General features: G+C 49.4%; 2 annotated features.

Annotated features, from left to right (window-relative positions):
* Positions 13,109 to 13,626: an enhancer, noted in NCBI's record as "H3K4me1 hESC enhancer chr12:130572501-130573018 (GRCh37/hg19 assembly coordinates)". NCBI's record gives its function as "activates a minimal SCP1, AML or CMV promoter by ChIP-STARR-seq in naive H9 embryonic stem cells {active_cell/tissue: H9 hESC(naive)}" and the evidence as "EXISTENCE:reporter gene assay evidence [ECO:0000049][PMID:30033119]".
* Positions 13,627 to 14,144: an enhancer, noted in NCBI's record as "H3K4me1 hESC enhancer chr12:130571983-130572500 (GRCh37/hg19 assembly coordinates)". NCBI's record gives its function as "activates a minimal SCP1, AML or CMV promoter by ChIP-STARR-seq in naive H9 embryonic stem cells {active_cell/tissue: H9 hESC(naive)}" and the evidence as "EXISTENCE:reporter gene assay evidence [ECO:0000049][PMID:30033119]".

Raw genomic sequence — 17,613 nt, 5'->3', positions numbered from 1 at the left:
CTCCCTGGAGGCGTTTCTCCCCTCCTCCCACCGCAGAAGCAAGCCCAACCTTTATTTGGCTGCTCTTTGATAAAGCAAAGTCTCCTCTGATTTCCCCATATTTTTCCAGCTTCTGCGTGTCACGCAAGCCTTTTACATTATTAATAAAAGTTTCAAATTCAGTTACTTTGCTCTTGAATATGAAAGCTTCTCTTTGGGGGACTTTGAAACACACTAGATGCAAACTTTCCATGAAGACACTTAGAGATAAAGCGTGATGATCATCCTCCTTTGAACGTCTGGAGATTTTAGAAAGCAAGACCGCCCATGGAATCCGGAACTGTATTTGCACTAAAAGAAAAGGCAGAGAGGACTCACGGAGCTCTCCATTTTCATGTGGCATAATTAAAAGTTTACTTTCTTCAGGCTGTTGCCATGGGAGCAGCATTTGGTTGCATGTCTAAAGATCATAAAGGCCGGTGGGGATAGATGGAGGCAGTTGAAAATGATTTGGGAAGGTGTTTTTAAGAATGTGTGGTTTGAGAGGGGCAGACTGGAGGTAGGGAGGAAGAGAACAGATGAATGCATCCAAATGGTTCCTTTGACTTGAATTATTTTTGCCTAGAGGCAAATTTTTAAAAGATCTTCATGTTCCGAGTAGAATTCTAGCCAGAGGTTGATGGCTCTGATTGCTCCTAAATGGAATTATTCTCATAGTCAACATTTCCTTAGAAAATGGACTTTGCTTCTTTGTCTATTGCAACAGCAGTGCCCAGACACAAATAGTTTTGAGGAAAGAGCTAGTTTATTATTCAGGCTGGCAAGATAGATTCCTGGGGAGCAAGGCTCAGTGAATAATCCAAAAGCAACATAGTCTAGGCTTAGCCTAGTTCCTGCCTTTTCTAGGAAATCTTTCTGAAGTGCTTCGGTTTGCACTGATGTCTTTATTTACCAAATGCCATAAGGACAGCTTCTACTTTGTCCTCTGGGCTGGGCTGAGGTCTCATCAGGCTGCTCTGGGACTTCAGATTTTGATGTTGTCTTTTAACGGTGCAGCTCTGGGAGTCGACATATCTCATCAGTCCTTTCTGGCCCTTAAGGCAAAGCTCCACAGACTACCTGGCTTAGGAGCCACAGACATTTATTCCTCACGGGTCTGGGGGATGAAAGTCTGAGATCAGGGAGCTGGCTAGGCTGGATTCTAGTGAGAGCTGTCTTCTGGGTTCTGGACTGTCAATTTCTCCTTGTGTCCTCACGTGGTGGAAGGGGCGAGGCAGCTCTCTGGGGTCCGTTTTATAAGGGCACTTGATTGCTTCATAGGCCTCCACCCTCATGAGATAATCACCTTCCCCAAACCCCCACCTCCTAGCACCTTCCCATTGGAGGTTAGAGTTTCACCATATGAATTTTGGAGGACACACACATTGCGTCTGGTTTGAATTCTGGTTCTATCACAACGAACTGAAAAGCCTGACCAAGACCACCTGTGGCTCAGCTTCCTTGGAGGCATAAGATCAGCTGCATTTCAGAGGCCCCAGTGAGGATGGCAGGAGAAAGTGGACTCAGTGCTTGGCTCAGGGCAGGCACACGGTAGGTGCTCAGGAATTAGGAATTCTCCTTCTCGTCAGCAGGTCCTTCCTGGTTCCCACTGCCTCTCACCCCCACAAGGCTCAGCACTCATGGACTGATGGCTGGGGACCTCCAGCTTCCTGTTTATTGGGAGGGAGTGATTATTAACTCCAGAGAGTGGGTGAACTCTGCACTGGTCACTCTGAATACATTGTCTCACTTAATTCCCACTACCCACTGGGAACACTTAATTCCCACTACCCACCAGGAACACTTAATTCCCACTACCCACCAGGAACACTTAATACAGGGAGGCAGGCTCAGGAATGTGCACGCCCTATCAGAGGCCACAGAGCCAGATGGCAGAAGAACCTCCAGCTGCAAGTGAGATGGTCCCATCCTGTGCCAGAAAGCCCCAGACCTCCTTCAGTCGAGTACCTTCAGGAGGGTCTTGGCCAATTCCAGTTGCAAAAAAACATTTGGGTATTTTTTGGAGTGGCAAGGAGGGTGCTCAGAGACCACGTATAGTCCAAGGCAGGCACTACCAAAGTTTGGGGCCAATTAGAGCAAATTATGGATGTTTTACTCAATCTGACAAGCGGAAATGCTTGCTGGAGTCTCGACTGTGTCAGTCACTAAGTATCCAATCCATTCGTGGTTTGTTTATTTTTGTTTCTTTTTTTTTTTCTGAGACGGAGTCTCGCTCTGTCCCCCAGGCTGGAGTGCAGCGGCGTGATCTTGGCTCACTGAAAGCTCCACCTCCCGGGTTCACGCCATTCTCCTGCCTCAGTCTCCCGAGTAGCTGGGCCTACAGGTGCCCACCACCACGCCCGGCTAATTTTTTTTTTATTTTTAGTAGAGATGGGTTTTCACCATGTTAGCCAAGATGGTCTCGATCTCCTGACCTTGTGATCTGCCCACCTCGGCCTCCCAAAGTGCTGGGATTACAGGCGTGAGCCACCGCGCCAGGCCACCATTTGTGGTTTGATGACATAAAGTTAGCATTCTCTGTGGCTTCATTTGTGGATCCTGTAGGTCAGCGTCGTTGATGCTTTCCCTATTTTCAGCCACTGCGATCAACACCATGGCTTGTGCAGCAGTGTGTAGTTTTGCTGAGCGCAGGCTGATTGTTCAGAAGCCCCTTAGAGTTCTAGTCTCTCAGATACGTGCTCACTCAGCCTCACAGCATCCCAGGAGGTGGGACAGGCCTTGTGGAGACCAGCACACCTAGGACAGTGAGTGATGGCAGATGGGATTCCAGGCCCTCTTCACACCTTGGCTTGGCTGCTGTTCCAGGGCATGCTGGGGGTAGCCACCCTGCTGTGAGCTCAGCTCTGAAAAGTCATTTTCCCAGAACAAACAAATTGGTGCCCTTCCTGTTTATGAAATGGATCTTAAATAAAATGAAATAGCCTCCTCTGGGGCATTGTTGTCAGTTTGACAGAATTCTTCATTCCTCTTTTAGGGCAAGGGTTGCGAACTCAAATGCTTTTGGGTCCAGACAGGTGACACAAAGGGGCCCGCCGCGGGCAGGGTGGCTAGCATCTAGGGGTGGTGAGGACTGTCGCCTACCAAGGCACCATTGGCAAGCTGGCTCTGCCTAACAGCTCTCACATGCAGAGGTTGGCCCAGGGCAGCATGGTGGTTGTTTTTCAAGAGAACCATAAGTAAGAGTCCTTGTGTCAAATCTACAGACTCTGGAAGCACCAGCAGTGCGTGTTCCTTAAATAACAGCGAATGGCTCAAGGAATAACAAATCTCCTCCTCCTTGTTTACCTGAAAGCCACGATCATGCCCTGACCATCTCTCTGGCATTTCCTGTTCCATTTCTGAGCACCTACCATGCCCCAGGCACTGCAGCAGGCACAAGGGCAGACGATGAATCAGATTTCTCAGAAGGCACACCTGTCCTCCCTGGAGCTCCTGCTTCCCTGGCACCTGGCAAATATTAAATGTGCCGGTGCAGTCAGGCAAGTCATGCCCAGCAATGCAGTCACCCAGCAATGCTGTTATCTAGCACCGAGGACCTTTTCCTCCTCAGCAGCGACTGCGGACTGATAAGCCCAGTGACTTCATCTCTCCTGTGTCCTGCGTTTCACTGTCACTCACAGACCCAAGGAATGCGTAATCCAACACACCTCAGAGCATTTGGTTCTTAGAACACATTCTTTCCACACCCTCAGCTGAACACATGTAACTTTTCACTTTCTTCTTAATTGAGCCTAAAGAGATTCCCAGATGAGAGCTCAGGAAGATGCCTTTGAAATTCCTGAAACAGCCCTCTCTCTTCCCCTGTCTGGAGACGAGAGGGCCAAGGTGCTCCCGTCATTTGCCAAGGGACAGCCAGGCAGCTCAAGGATTGAATTTCTCCAGGGCCACCGTCGCTTTGATGCCGCCCTGACACCCCCAGGGCCTAGCACAGTTCCTGGTACATCTGCAGGTTCTTGGTGACCCATTGTTGTCTAATGAATGAAACGGCCCTTCCAGACTTGGTCATCTGAAAAGGTAACCATGAAGAAGTGATGAATGTTCTGAGTAAGCGTTGTGGCATGAGCCTAGATCCCAGCCCACCCATGATGGGCTAGGTAGGCACTGCTGTTGTTTGGGGATAGGAGTGCCTGTGTTCATTCCCTCCACGAGCTTCAGTGAAGCCCAGACATCAGACACAGGCTTGTAAGTGGAAATGGGACAAGGAGGTTTCCTGCACATTTTCCCCCACGAGCGACGGTTTCTGAAGTGTTTATAAATAGTCCCCCACACGCCAGGGAAGAACACTAGGATGTGGGAAGAAAATGTTACCATGTGTATTTATTTATTACTGTTTCTATTTAGTTATTTTTATTTAAAAACATAGGATAAGGCCGGATGCAGTGGCTCACGCCTGTATCCCAGTGCTTTGGGAGGCTGAGGCAGGAGGATTGCTTGAGGCTTGGAGTTCAAGATCAGCCTGGGCAACATAGTGAGACTCTCTGTCTACAAAAAGATGTTAAAATTAGCCAGGCGTGGTGGGGCTTGCCTGTAGTCCCAGCTACTCAGCAGACTGAGGCGGGAGGATCACTGGAGCCCAAGAGTTTGGGTCCAGTCCAGGTAACATAGTGAGTCTCCATCTCAAGAGTAATAAAAATAATAATGAATACAAATATACAGTGTGACAGAAGAAATAAAACCTAGTGTTTGCTAGATCAGTAGGCTGACTCTAGTTTACAATCATCTTTTGTATATTTCCAAATAGCTCGGAGAGAATTATTTGAATGTTTCTAGCCTAAAAAAAGACAAATATATAAAGTGACGGATATCCCAACTATCTGATTTGGCCTTTACAAATGATAGGCGTACTAAATTACACATGCGTGGGAAACTAGGGAGATCTCCTATGTATCAATTAAACAAAAATAAAGTTAACAAAAAGAAAAAAGTAAACCTGGCTATAAGGGAAGTAGGACCATATTCAGCTAAAATAGACATTTTCATCTGTCTTTGACATTTTGCAGTAAAGGCTAAATATGTCCTTTTGAGGATGTACATATCTGTAATCACAGCATGTCTGACAGCCGCAAGCTGCAGATGGTGTCCGTGTACGGTGCTGGGAACTCCAGTACCACACAGGGCATTGCCGTGGATGACGATGTTTTTCAAGACAGTGGCTGATGGTTGACACCACTCCAAACTAAACACAGTGCAAGCTTCCCTCCTTTCCCATTGTAACTACAACGCCGGAAACTCCATGTACATTGAAATCGTGCAAACATGCTTTGTGTTTATTTACAAAATGGGGTTTGGTTGTAGGGTCAGATGATTACAAACAGGCCTTTCTCCTTGTGGAAGATGGGACAGTTATTTATTGGGGAGGGCTGTCCTCAGGCATCGAGAGACCTCCAACATCTCCGCCCCTGCCCTGCAAGTGCAGGTAGCCACTGCCAATCACTGCACCAAACAAAGACACTTCCACAGATTCCCATAATCCTTCCCGGGGCAGACCTGCCTCCCATAAGTGGCTGGGTTAAATTAGGTGCATAGTGTTTTATCACTCACAATGTGGGGGTCCTACCTGATAAGCCCCTACAGATTTGCGTGCCATAGCTCCGGCCTAAGATCAGCCTTTCACGTAGACTGGAGGCTGGGATACCTTAGGCTTATTGTTGAAGGTTACGGGTTTTGTTCTGTGCGATTTTCCTTTCCGGGATCTCTCTCTCACTCACATGCATGAGCACTGCTATACCCACTCTCCTCCTCCCAGCTACATCAGGAGCTGAAATGCAGAGACCTGAAGGGTCAGGGGAAGTGAAAGCTGAGTGGAATGGGTCAGATGGTATTTATTCAACATAGACACACTATTTTTATTAAAACATGTGACCTCCTTGAACTACTTTTGCACTGCCCCACTTTAAAAAATGTTTTATTGTGGTAAAATATGCATTCTGTAAAATTATGTACATTTTAAAACAACTAGAAGAGTAGAATTGGATTGTTTGTAACACAAAGGACAAATGCTTGAGTGGGTGGACACCCCATTCTCCATGGTATGATGATTACACATTGCATGCCTGTATCGAAATATCTCATGTACCCCATAAAGATATACACCTACTATGTACCCACAATTTTTTTTTTTTTTTGAGATAGAGTCTTGCTCTGTCGCCCAGGCTGGAATGCAGTGGTGCAATCTCAGCTCACCACAACCTCTGCCACCTGGGTTCAAGCAATTCTCCTGTCTCCGCCTCCCGAGTAGCTGAGACTACAGGCGCCTGCCTACCATGCTCGGCTCATTTTGTATTTTTAGTAGAGATGGGGTTTCACCATATTGGTCAGGCTGGTCTCGAACTCCTGACCTCAGGTGATCCACCCGCCTTGGCCTCCCAAAATGCTGGGATTACAGGCATGAGCCACCGCACCCAGCCCACAACAATTTAAAATTTAACTAAAAGGAAAACTTAAAACAGCAAAAAATTAAAATAAAATTTATCATTTTAACCATTTTTAAGTGTACAGTTCATTGGCAGTACGGATAGTCACATTGTTGTATAACTATCACTATTCATCTCAAAACCTACCCATCTTCCCAAACTGAAACTCTACCCCATTAATCACTATCTCCCCATTCTCTCCCCACTAATCCCTCGCACCCACCTCCTACTCTCTGTCTCTATGAGTCTGATACCCTAGAGACCTCCTGTAAGTGGAATCAGACAGTATTTGTCCTTCTGTGTCTGATTTCTTTCACCCAGCCTAATGGCCTCAGGGTTCACCCATGTCACAGAGCATGTCAGAATTTCTGTCCTTTTGAAGGCTGAATAATATTCCACTGTGAGGATGGATCACAGTTTGGTTCTGCATGGAGACTTAGGGGTGGACACTGGGCTGCTTCTCCCTTTCGGCTTTTGTGACTCACACTGCTGTGAACACGGGTGTCCAAACACCTGTTCAAGTCCCTGCTTTCACTTCTTCAGGGTTTTATTGAGAAGTGGGGTTGGTTGCAGGTTCATAGGGTACTTCCAGTTTTCATTTTTTTGAGGAACTACCACTCTGTTTTCTGCAGTGGCTACACCATTTTCCTATCATCTCGCTTTTGCTGGAGACATGAAATTGTAGACTATCCACTCCAGCGAATGTAGCCCTGCGGGGAGGGAGCACAGTGGCCCAGTTCATTGAAGACTACGGGCCTGGAGATGGTTACCTGGGCTCTCCTCCCTGCTTTGCTACTCACACCCAAACTCTGAGGACTTGGACCAGTCATTTCACCTCTCCTGGCCTTTGCGTCCCCAGCCGGGAAATGGGGGTTTTAACAGCACCTGCTTATCGATTTGTTGTGCAGGTCATAAGCCCCAGCCCTGAAACAGCTCCTGGTGCACAGTAAGATCCATATCAAGACTTCGTTCAGTGAAGTGTGATCCCATCTTGCCAAATCTTCCATATTATTAAAGACAAACTGGAAATCTGGGTTTTTAAAATATGACATCTCCAACTTGAAAATGTTGACAACTTAGTTCAGGTTAAAAATAAAATAATGTGTGAGCTAAAGGGACATGTCTGTGAGCTAGAAATGCTCCTGGGCTGCCTGTGTGACCCGCAATAACAAAATGATGTGATGCAGCTGCAACAGCGGAATTCAAGGAAGGCTGCATGGAGGAGGAGGCATTGAAACTGAGTCACAACACAGACAGCATGGAGACAGTGAAAGACAGGAGGCGGCCCAGGAAGCAGGCAGGTGATACACAGGTAGACTTCAGGTCTGTCATTGAGGGAAGAAGGTGTCTATTCTCAACACAACCCCAAACGTTTTAACAATCCAGCCTTTCTTAGCAAACAAAGTGGCCACACTTCCACGTGTTCATCAACACGGTTGTTGAGCTTTGAGCTTGTGCCCCACAGTCCAGGGAGGTGATTTATCTGCTTGCACCTGAAAGCCAGTGTTATAACCAGGCAGCATTCTGGGTCTTGTCACCAGCGATGCACATTGGAACAATAAAAGTAAATGAAACTGGTATTACAAGGGGCTCGGATTTCAAAGGGAAATCTTTCAAGGACCCGGATGAGAGGGCCCAAGTTCTCATTTAAATTACAAAACTACATTGAAGTCTATCGCCCACTACAGAGAAATTGATCCGTGGCTTCATAATGAGTATATCAATGGCAATTTAAATTATGGCACCTTTTACAGTGTGTGCCTTTTGATAGTTGTCATCCCCCACATTTGGATTCCCTCCTAGACGGCTGTTACTACACACACAATCGGGGACCTTGGGAGCACCCAGGTCTTCATTCTGTTTCATCTCTTTAACGGAAGAACGTGTTTTCATTCTGAGTACAAAGGACATCTTGAGATTCGGAATTGGCAATCTGAGAGCGGATTCCCCTCCCTTAGAAAATACATATAAATACGGGACACTTGGAGGTAGCAGGTTAACTGGTTTATGACAATCCTGGAATAGAATAACCCTGCTGGTTTTCAAACAGCCGTCTTCAGGTCGGTCCTAGGCGCGCTGCTTCTGAATAGATCCAGGGACATTGAGATTGTGAGGCTAGATTTGCACTGGCCACTGAGATATCTGAAACTGAACTGGATGGAACAATATTGAACATTTACCTATATGCCAAGCACTTCGCTAAATTCATATAAAGCAAGGAACCTGGTGTCTCTCTGCCTGTCGTCCCCTTTCTGATCACAGGGTCCAGAGCTCTCCTACCTGAGGCAGGCAGTTGCCCTTCCTCCTGGAATGCTCCTTCTCTGGCCCCTCAGGGAAAGGATGCTGCCTCTCCACGCCTTGGACTCAGCTCAAAGCCCAGCTCCTCAGAGCGGCCTCTGTGACTACCCTGGCCCTCCCTGCCAGCCCCCTTCCCTGCATCGCTCTCACCGTGTCTCGGCCTCCATGCCGTCAGCATTTGGGGCTGGGTGGTTCTCTGGTGGGAGCCATCCCGTGCACTGCAGAGAATTCATCAGCATCCCCGGCCTCCAACCCTGGATACCAGGATCTCTGCTCCCAGGTGTGACAACTGAAACATCTCCAGTCATCACCAAATGCCCTTTGGGGACGAAATTTCCTCCCTCCCCCTGTGAGAAGCCCTGCTGGGCCACCCCTGGCTCCCTCTTCCATAGCACCCATCACGTCGGGCGGTCTTATCTGCTTCCTTGTGTGCTGGTCGTCATCCCCCTGGAATGCCGGTGGTGTGGGAGTCAGGACCTGGGCTGCCCTCCTCTCCTGCAGTTAAGGTGCCTAGAGCCCACCGGGCATGCAGCAGGCAAGGGACTCAGTAGACACTCAGTAGAGACTCAGTAGACATGCAGTATGCACTCAGTAGGTATGCAGTAGGCATGCAGTAGGCTTACAGTAGGCACTCAGTAGACAGTAGGCACACAGTAGACACTCAATAGGCACGCAGTAGGCACTCGGTAGGCAGTAGGCCTGCAATAGGCACTCAGTAGCCATGCAGTAGACACTCAGTAGGCAATCAGTAAGCACTCAGTAGAGAGTAGACATGCAGTAGACACTCAGTAGGCATGCAATAGACACTCAGGAGACACAAAGTAGACACTCAATAGGCACGCAGTAGGCACTCAGTAGATACGCAGTAGACAGTAGACAGTAGACACTCAGTAGGCACTCAGTAAACAGTAGACAGTGGGCAATCAGCAGGCACTCAGTAGACAGTAGGCATGCAGTAGACACTCAGTAGGTGCTCAGTAGGCATGCAGTAGACACTCAGTAGGCATGCAGTAGACACTCAGTAGACAGTAGACACTCAGTAGACAGTAGGCCTGCAGCAGACACTCAGTAGGCACTCAGTAGGCATGCAGTAGGCATGCAGTAGACACTCAGTAGACAGTAGACACTCAGTAGACAGTAGACACTCAGTAGAATGCAGTAGGCACTCAGTAGGTACTCAGTAGGTACTCAGTAGACAAGCAGTAGACACTCAGTAGGCACGCAGTAAATGCTCGGTAGACACCCAGTAGGCATGCAGTAGGCAGTAGGCACGCAGTAGGCATGCAGTAGACACTCACTAGACACGTAGTAGACAGTAGGCACACAGGAGGCACTCAGTAGGCATGCAGTAGACACACAGTAGACAGTAGACGGTAGACACTCAGTAGGCACTCAGGAAACAGTAGACAGTCAGTGGGCAACCAGCAGGCACTCAGTAGACAGTAGGCATGCAGTAGACACTCAGTAGGTGCTCAGTAGGTACGCAGTAGACATGCAGTAGACACTCAGTAGGCATGCAGTAGGCAGTAGGCACGCAGTAGGCATGCGGTAGACACTCACTAGACACGTAGTAGACAGTAGGCACACAGGAGGCACTCAGTAGGCATGCAGTAGACACACAATAGGCACACAGTAGGCACTCAGTAGGAATGCAGTAGACACACAGTAGACAGTAGACGGTAGACACTCAGTAGGCACTCAGAAACAGTAGACAGTGGGCAACCAGCAGGCACTCAGTAGACAGTAGGCATGCAGTAGACACTCAGTAGGTGCTCAGTCGGCATGCAGTAGACACACAGTAGGCACAGCATAGGCACTCAGTAGACACACAGTAGGCACTCAGTAGGCATGCAGTAAGCACTAAGCAGACACTCAGTAGGCATGCAGTAGACACTCAGTAGGTGCTCAGTAGGCATGCAGCAGACACACAGTAGGCACAGCATAGGCACTCAGTAGACACACAGTAGGTACACAGTAGGCACTCAGTAGGCATGCAGTAAGCACTAAGCAGACACTCAGTAGGCATGCAGTAGACATGCAGTAGACACACAGTAGGCACTCAGTAGACAGTAGGCACACTGTAGGCACGCAGTAGGAATGCAGTAGACACTCAGTAGGCACACAATAGGCACCTACCTGAGTGAACTAGTGAGTGAGTGAATGCCTGCATGCCAGGGGTCATTTCGGAGAGCTGGTGAGTGTTATGGTTTGGCTGTGTCTCCTCCCAAATCTCATCTTGAATTGTAACTCCCACAATTTCCACATGTCATGGTAGGAACCCAGTGGGAGGTGATGGAATATTGGGATGGGTCTTTCCTGTGCTCTTCTCATGATAGTGAATGAGTCTCATGAGATCTGATGGTTTTAAAAACAGGAGTTTCCCTGCACAAGCTCTCTCTTTGCCTGCCACCATCCACATAAGACGTGACTTGCTCCTCCTTGCCTTCCACCATGATTGTGAGGCTTCCTCAGCCACATGGAACTGTGAGTCCAATTAAACCTCTTTCTTTTGTAAATTGCCCAGTCTCGGGTATGTCTTTATCAGCAGCATGAAAATGAACTGATACAGTGAGAAATATTTTGAAAAATGATAGTCATGGTGTCCTATATTTTGTTTCAGGAAAACAGGCTTTAAAAGGACCAAAAAAGGACACAAACTATGAGTTTTTGGGCAGACAGAACTGAATTTTACCTCTTACCTGCTACATAACCTGTTTTTTTGTTTTGTTTTGTTTTTTGTTTTTTTGGAATGGGGTCTCACTCTGTTGCCTAGGCTGGAGTGCAGTGGCGTGATCATAGCTGACTGCAGCCTGGAACTCCTAGGCTCAAGGGATCCTCCCATCTCAGCCTCCGGAGTAGCTGGGACTGCAGGCACATTCCACCATGCCCAGCTAATTGATAATTTTTTTTTTTTTTTTTTTGTAGAGATGGGGGTCCCACTATATTGCCCAGGCTGATCTTGAACTCCTGGCCTCAAGTGATGTTCCTGCCTCCGCCTTATTAGTTGTGAAATCTGTATATATTCATGTCACCAACACCCTATGAGACGCGGAACGTTTTCATCAATCCAGGAAGCTCCGTTTTGCCCTATCCCAATCAATGTACCACCCCTGGCAGTCATCACTTTTTTTTTTTTTTTTTTTTTTGAGATGGAATCTCACTCTGTTGCCCAGGCTGGAGTGCAGTGGTGTGATCTTGGCTCACTGCAACCTCTGCCTCCCGAATTCAAGAGATTCTCATGCCTCAGCCTCCCAAGTAGCTGGGATTACAGATGCTCACCACCATGCCCAGCTAATTTTTGTATTTTTAGTAAAGATAGGGTTTCACCATGTTGGCCAGGCTAGTCTTGAACTCCTGACCTCAAAGCGATCCACCTGCCTTGGCCTCCCAAAGTGCTGGGATTACAGGCGTGAGCCACGGCGCCCAGCCGGCAGCTATCATTCTAACGTCTGTCACTAGATTAGTTTTGCCTGTCCCAGAAGTTCATAAAAATAGAGTCATACTGCATGAATTCTTGTGAGCCTGGCTTTCTTAACACGGTGTCTTTGGGATTCACCTGTGTTTTGGAGTGAAGCAGTCGTTCATTCCTTTTTAACTTCTGAGCTCTGTTCCCTTGTATGCGCATACCACGAGTTATGTCCATTCAGCAGCTGCTGGACATTGGGGTGGTCCCCAGTTTGGGACTATTGTAAATAAAACTGCTTTGAACATTCATGTATAAGTCTTTGGTGATATGTTTCATTTCTCTTGGGATCAATACCAGGAGTGGAACCGATAGGTTGTATGGTAAGTATGCGTTTGACTTGGCAAGCGATTTCTCAAAGTGGCTGCTATGGACTGAATTGGGTTCCCTCAAAATTCAGATGTTGAAGTCCTAATTTCCAGTATCTCAGAATCTGACCATATTTGGGGATAGGGTCTTTATAGAGGTAATTAAGTTAAAATGAGGTCTTAGGTTGTGCCCTTATCCCATAGGACAATCCATAAATTGTCTTTAAAAAGACAATCCATAAATTGTCTTTTTAAAGAGGAGATGAGGATGCAGACACGCACAGAGGGGCGGCAACGTGAGGACACAGGGAGCAGACTTCATCTGCAAGTCACGCGAGAGGCCTCAGGGGAAGTCGCCCTTGACTTTGGACGTCCAGCCTCCAGAACTGTGAGAGAATGAATGTCTGTTGTTTCAGCTGCCCAGCCTGTGGTCCTTTTTGACGGTAGCCCTGATGACCTGGTACAGCACTTACGGATTTTCCACTCCTGCCAGGCATGTGTGAGCACAGCCTCCCCGTGCAATTGGTACCTGGTGAGAGCCCAAGCTCTCTTTCCCGCCTCCCACCGGCCCCGCCTCCCACCGGCCTTTGGTGCTGTCAGCCTTTTGCATTTTAGCCATTCTAGTGTGTCAAAGGGCATCGCAGTATGGTTTTTTCTCTCTCTCTTTTTGATTTACATATGTTTTTACTGAGATAGAATTTACACAGCAGAAAATTAACCATTTAAAAGTGTATGATTCAGTGGCATTGAGGACATCCACCATGTTGGTCAACCATCATTTCTATTTAGTTCCAAAACATCTTCATATCCCCAAAAGGAAATCCCACACCTTGTAAGCAGTCACTCCCCATTGCCCCACCCACCAGCCCCCGGCAAACACTAGTGTGCTTTCTGTTCGCGAGGACTTGCCTGTTCTGGACGTGTCACATCCGTGGAATCACGCAATACACGGCCGTGTGTGCGTGGCTTCTTCCGCGCAGCGTCGTGTTTCCGAGGCTCCTCCGTGCTTTAGCCTGTGCCAGCGCCTCGCCCCTCTTTATGGCTGAGTCTTACGCCACTGGACGGATGGAGTGCGGCCGATCTGTCCACGCGTCAGTGGTGGGCCTTCAATTGCTTCCACTGCCTCAGGGTGGTTTTCATTTCCACTTCTCTGATGATGCTGAGCAGCTTTTTGTGGGCTTCCTGGTCACCTGCAGCTGTGTCATGCTAACGAGGTCCCCGCCACCTCTCGGAGCCTCAAGATTCTCATCATCTCCAGCTGGTGTGATCCTGCCTTCCTTACGGAGTCAACGTGAGGGGAAGTGCCATCATGCACTTAAAGAGCCTGGCACAAGGTGGGCACACGTTGATGCCAGCTGCCCAGGCCAGCTCTCAGCCAGCTTCTGAATTCTCTTTTTACCGTTCACAGCCTTGCTGGAAAATATTTAAAGCATCACCTGGATCGACACGGCTCAACGCCGTACTTTTGTAGACCTGGTGTATATCAGGGCCCGAGCTAGGAGGAAAGCACCCTCTGGGTGTGGGGAGGTTGGTCCCAGCCCGGGACCCAGGCCCCTAACAGTGCTGCTTAACCACACTATCATTTCCCTGGCTGAGAGCAGAAGCGCCACCCAGATCAAAGGTAGCAGGAGGAGGTGAGTGAGCCAGTAGGCAGACGATGAAGGTGCCACATTGAGCAGCCAGCTGGGCTGGGCTTCTCCTCCTTCCTGTGGCGACTGGCCTGTCGGGTGGAGAAAGTCAAAACAATAGCATTTACTCCTCGTGTGGGCACCAAGAACCTGGGTAATTGAAAAAGCAAGGCCTTTTCTACCAGGTCTGTGTCCTTGACTTGAGAGACAGAAAGAGAGAAAGCTCTCTTCTTTTTTCTCAAACTCTCTCCCTCTCTCTCTCTCTCTCTCTCTCCTTCCAGGGACTCTAGAACTAATCTTGGGGATAAACTCACTCCTCTTTGGAATAACAACGTGGAGTGGCTTTTATTACTGACCCACACTCATGAATCAGTGAATATTTTATGCAAACACTCAGTAAACAAGCTGGGGCACAGAAGCAGCTTCCTGAGGATGGGTGATCTTCTGTGTGTTGAGCTGAGCGCTGGTGACACGGGCGTTCACGCTGTGAACATTTTTCAAGCTGCACAGGGAGGATATGCATGCATTTCCAGAATGAAAAGTTAATAAAAGTCTCCATAAAAAGTTAAACACACACGTGCAATTGGTACCTGGTGAGAGCCCAAGCTCTCTCTCCCGCTGTAAATGCAATTAACGCCAGGTAACAGGTATCTGAGCTGCCGAAGCGTGAGAGCGTGCGCGGCCCGCCTCTTTGTCAATTTATCTTCAGCCTCCAGATATTTGGGCCACTCGGTTTCTGTAGCTAAACTGTGACATCCAGGGCGGGAGCTGAGAATCATCCCTGGGAAGTTGTCCTGACTTCTGCAGCACCCTGATAGCTTTTTTTTTCCTAGTGGAGCCGGCCAGAACAGATGTGGGGAAGTTTGCTTTGCCAGAAAAAGACAAGCAGGCCTCTCACAGAGCCTTTGATCTCACCTCGGAAGAAAGTTATAATCTGTCCCCGTGAATCTCTGCAGTTTGGACATGAAAGACAAAGGCAGGAAAATGTGAGCAGCACAGGAAACGCACATAAAATAAAGCAAACGGCCTTTGAAAGCCAGTGAGCGAGCGAGGCAGAGGAGCACAGCCCCAGCTTTGACTGGGGGAGCAGCGAACGTCCTGTCCCTTCCCTTGGTGGCGAGGAAGGAAGTGAAGCTACATCTCATCCCTTAGCAAAATAGTAATGGGAAATTCGGGGCTCTGGGGTGGGGTGGGAGTGGGAGAACCTTCCCTGCTGTCTCCCCTGACTGCCCGGAAGATGTGGACAAGTGAAGAAGAGCAGAGAAAAGGGAAGACATGCTGGAAGCTTCTGCACCTTTGCTAGAAGGCTGGGATTTGGCCTCTTCTTTTCCTGGCTAGCCCAAGCTCTTCTTCTCGGCTGGGCAGGGCTGTCTGCTGTGATTCCTTTCTCTGCAGGGCTGGGTGACACATGCTGGCTTCCAATCACCTCCAAGGCACCCTCCTCTCATTGTCAAAGTGAAAACCCGGCACAGGTAGCCTGGAGCTGCCCCCAGGGCCACCCAGACCCTCCACAGAGGCCCCTGGGTCTGAGCAGCAATACCCCCTGGCCGCCTCAAAGCAGGTGGCCCTCCTGGGCTCTGGGCTTAGGTCTGACGTGCTCCGGAGTCTCCCGGCCTCTCCCCCTGCTTCCGGCAGGTGACCAGAGAGCAATGAGGCTCCTGGGGGCATTTGAGTGAAGGGGCGGGAGTCACCCCCTGCACCTCTGGGTGGAAGCAAAAAGCCCTCGTGCAGGGAAGCGTGGGGGCAGAGGGGAGGGCAGAGGGCCCTGCTAAAACCCCAAGCCGCCCTGGAGTCCCTTCTTTCAGCTCCATCTCCCTCCCTAATCTGATGACTGACTGTTAATGTTATGGAGTCTGACGTGCCAGGCTGTGTCCTAGCCAGACCCATGGACTCACACGCTCCCTCTGGCAACCACAGACAGCAGTGCCATTACTGTCCCATTTCACAGTTGAGAACACTAAGGTCCAAGACGAAAACTCAGGATCACACTGCTGGGAAGAGAAAGGCCAAAATAGAAGCCCACTCCATCTGGCTGCATAGCCCACGCCAGGGTGGTGATTCACACACTCTTAAGGGTGGGCTACAGGCTGGGCACCTGCCCATCGCATCCTGAGTCAGGGAGCAGTGAGGGAAGCAGGCCCAGCTGTCCTGGCGACCCATGTCTTTCTGCAGAACGGGGAATTCTCCAATGTTGGTGCTGAGTCATCAGGGCTGCGGATGGAGACCCGGACTGCAGCTCAGGTAGGCCCACAAGCCCTACTCTCTAAAACAATGCAATCGAATATAAGACCCAGAAATGCCAGGGAAAGAGTCTGCTTATCTTGTGTGTTCCCGAGCAGTAGTAGTGACAATGTCAATCCTGACCTTTCATGCAGCTGAGGGGTGCTTATGATCACCTGCAGCCGAGCCTTCGTTTCCAAGGACAAGGCTCTGTGCTGAAAACCAAGCTCCTCTCCCTTGCTCAAGAGCCCTCTCACCCTACCCCACCAGCTCAAAGAAATCACTAGCATTACCATTTAGGAATGGAAATCAGAGGCCTACATACGGCTGCCCAGGAAGCAGCCCTGGAAGAAGATGGCTTCCCAGGAGGCTGGCTTGCTGCATTCTCTTTCTCCAGAGTCTTCTCCCTGCTCTGCTGTGCTCACCACTGCACCACCTACCACCTCTCCTTCTCAGACCTGCTTGGGGCCCCATCTCCCTGCTACAGGCCTTCCCAGCACCTTCCCAGAAATGTAGACATTTCTCTACAAGCAAAGGGAGTTAGTTAAGTCCTCATAGGAAATGCAGGGCCGTGCTGTTTAAACATCCTTGTTTATAATGAGGATGGCGGCCCTGGCCTGATCGTCTTTCTCTGTGCCCCTCCTGGCCTGTCTCGTCCACACCCATGACTCAGCCTCCACTTGGCTCTTAACGATGCCCAGCCCTGCGTCCTGTGACCTTCTGCTGTGCATTTCTCCTGGAGGTCCCTGGCTCCTTGGGCTAGGGGTGCTGGCACCAGACCTGCCATCTTCCCTCCCGTGGAGGTTGGAGTTCTCTGGCTCCTGCCTAACGGCACCCCCTGACTTCCCACTGTCTGGAAAGGGCACTTGTCATACACCTTTTGCACACTCTTACTACATTTGAGAGCCTGCCAGCCTTGGGAGTCCCCTCTCCCCAAGAGAGTGCCTCCAACGCTGGAATACCCAGCTTCTCCTGCCGCTGGGGCATGGGGCTTACGACCGAGCACCCACCTATCCCATACGTCCATGACTCTGATTTGGAAGCGAGAGCAATCGGAGACAGGAGGCGTGGGCTGGGGGCAGTTTGCTGGCCAGGTGGCTGCAGAGGCAGCCGGCTTCCAGGGGCCATGACATTTGCCAGGCAGACTTCCTGGCAGCTGATGGTTTTCTTTAGTGCTCTTTGGGGCAGCACAGAGGTAGCGCCTTCTCATCCGGCCAGGTCAGCTGTGTGGCTTCGGGCATTGT

Source organism: Homo sapiens, chromosome 12 (genome assembly GCF_000001405.40).
Source record: "Homo sapiens chromosome 12, GRCh38.p14 Primary Assembly".
In the NCBI taxonomy this organism is placed as follows: Eukaryota; Metazoa; Chordata; class Mammalia; order Primates; family Hominidae; genus Homo; species Homo sapiens.
Note: the sequence above shows the minus strand (reverse complement) of the source record. Positions and strands in the feature narration are given on the sequence as shown.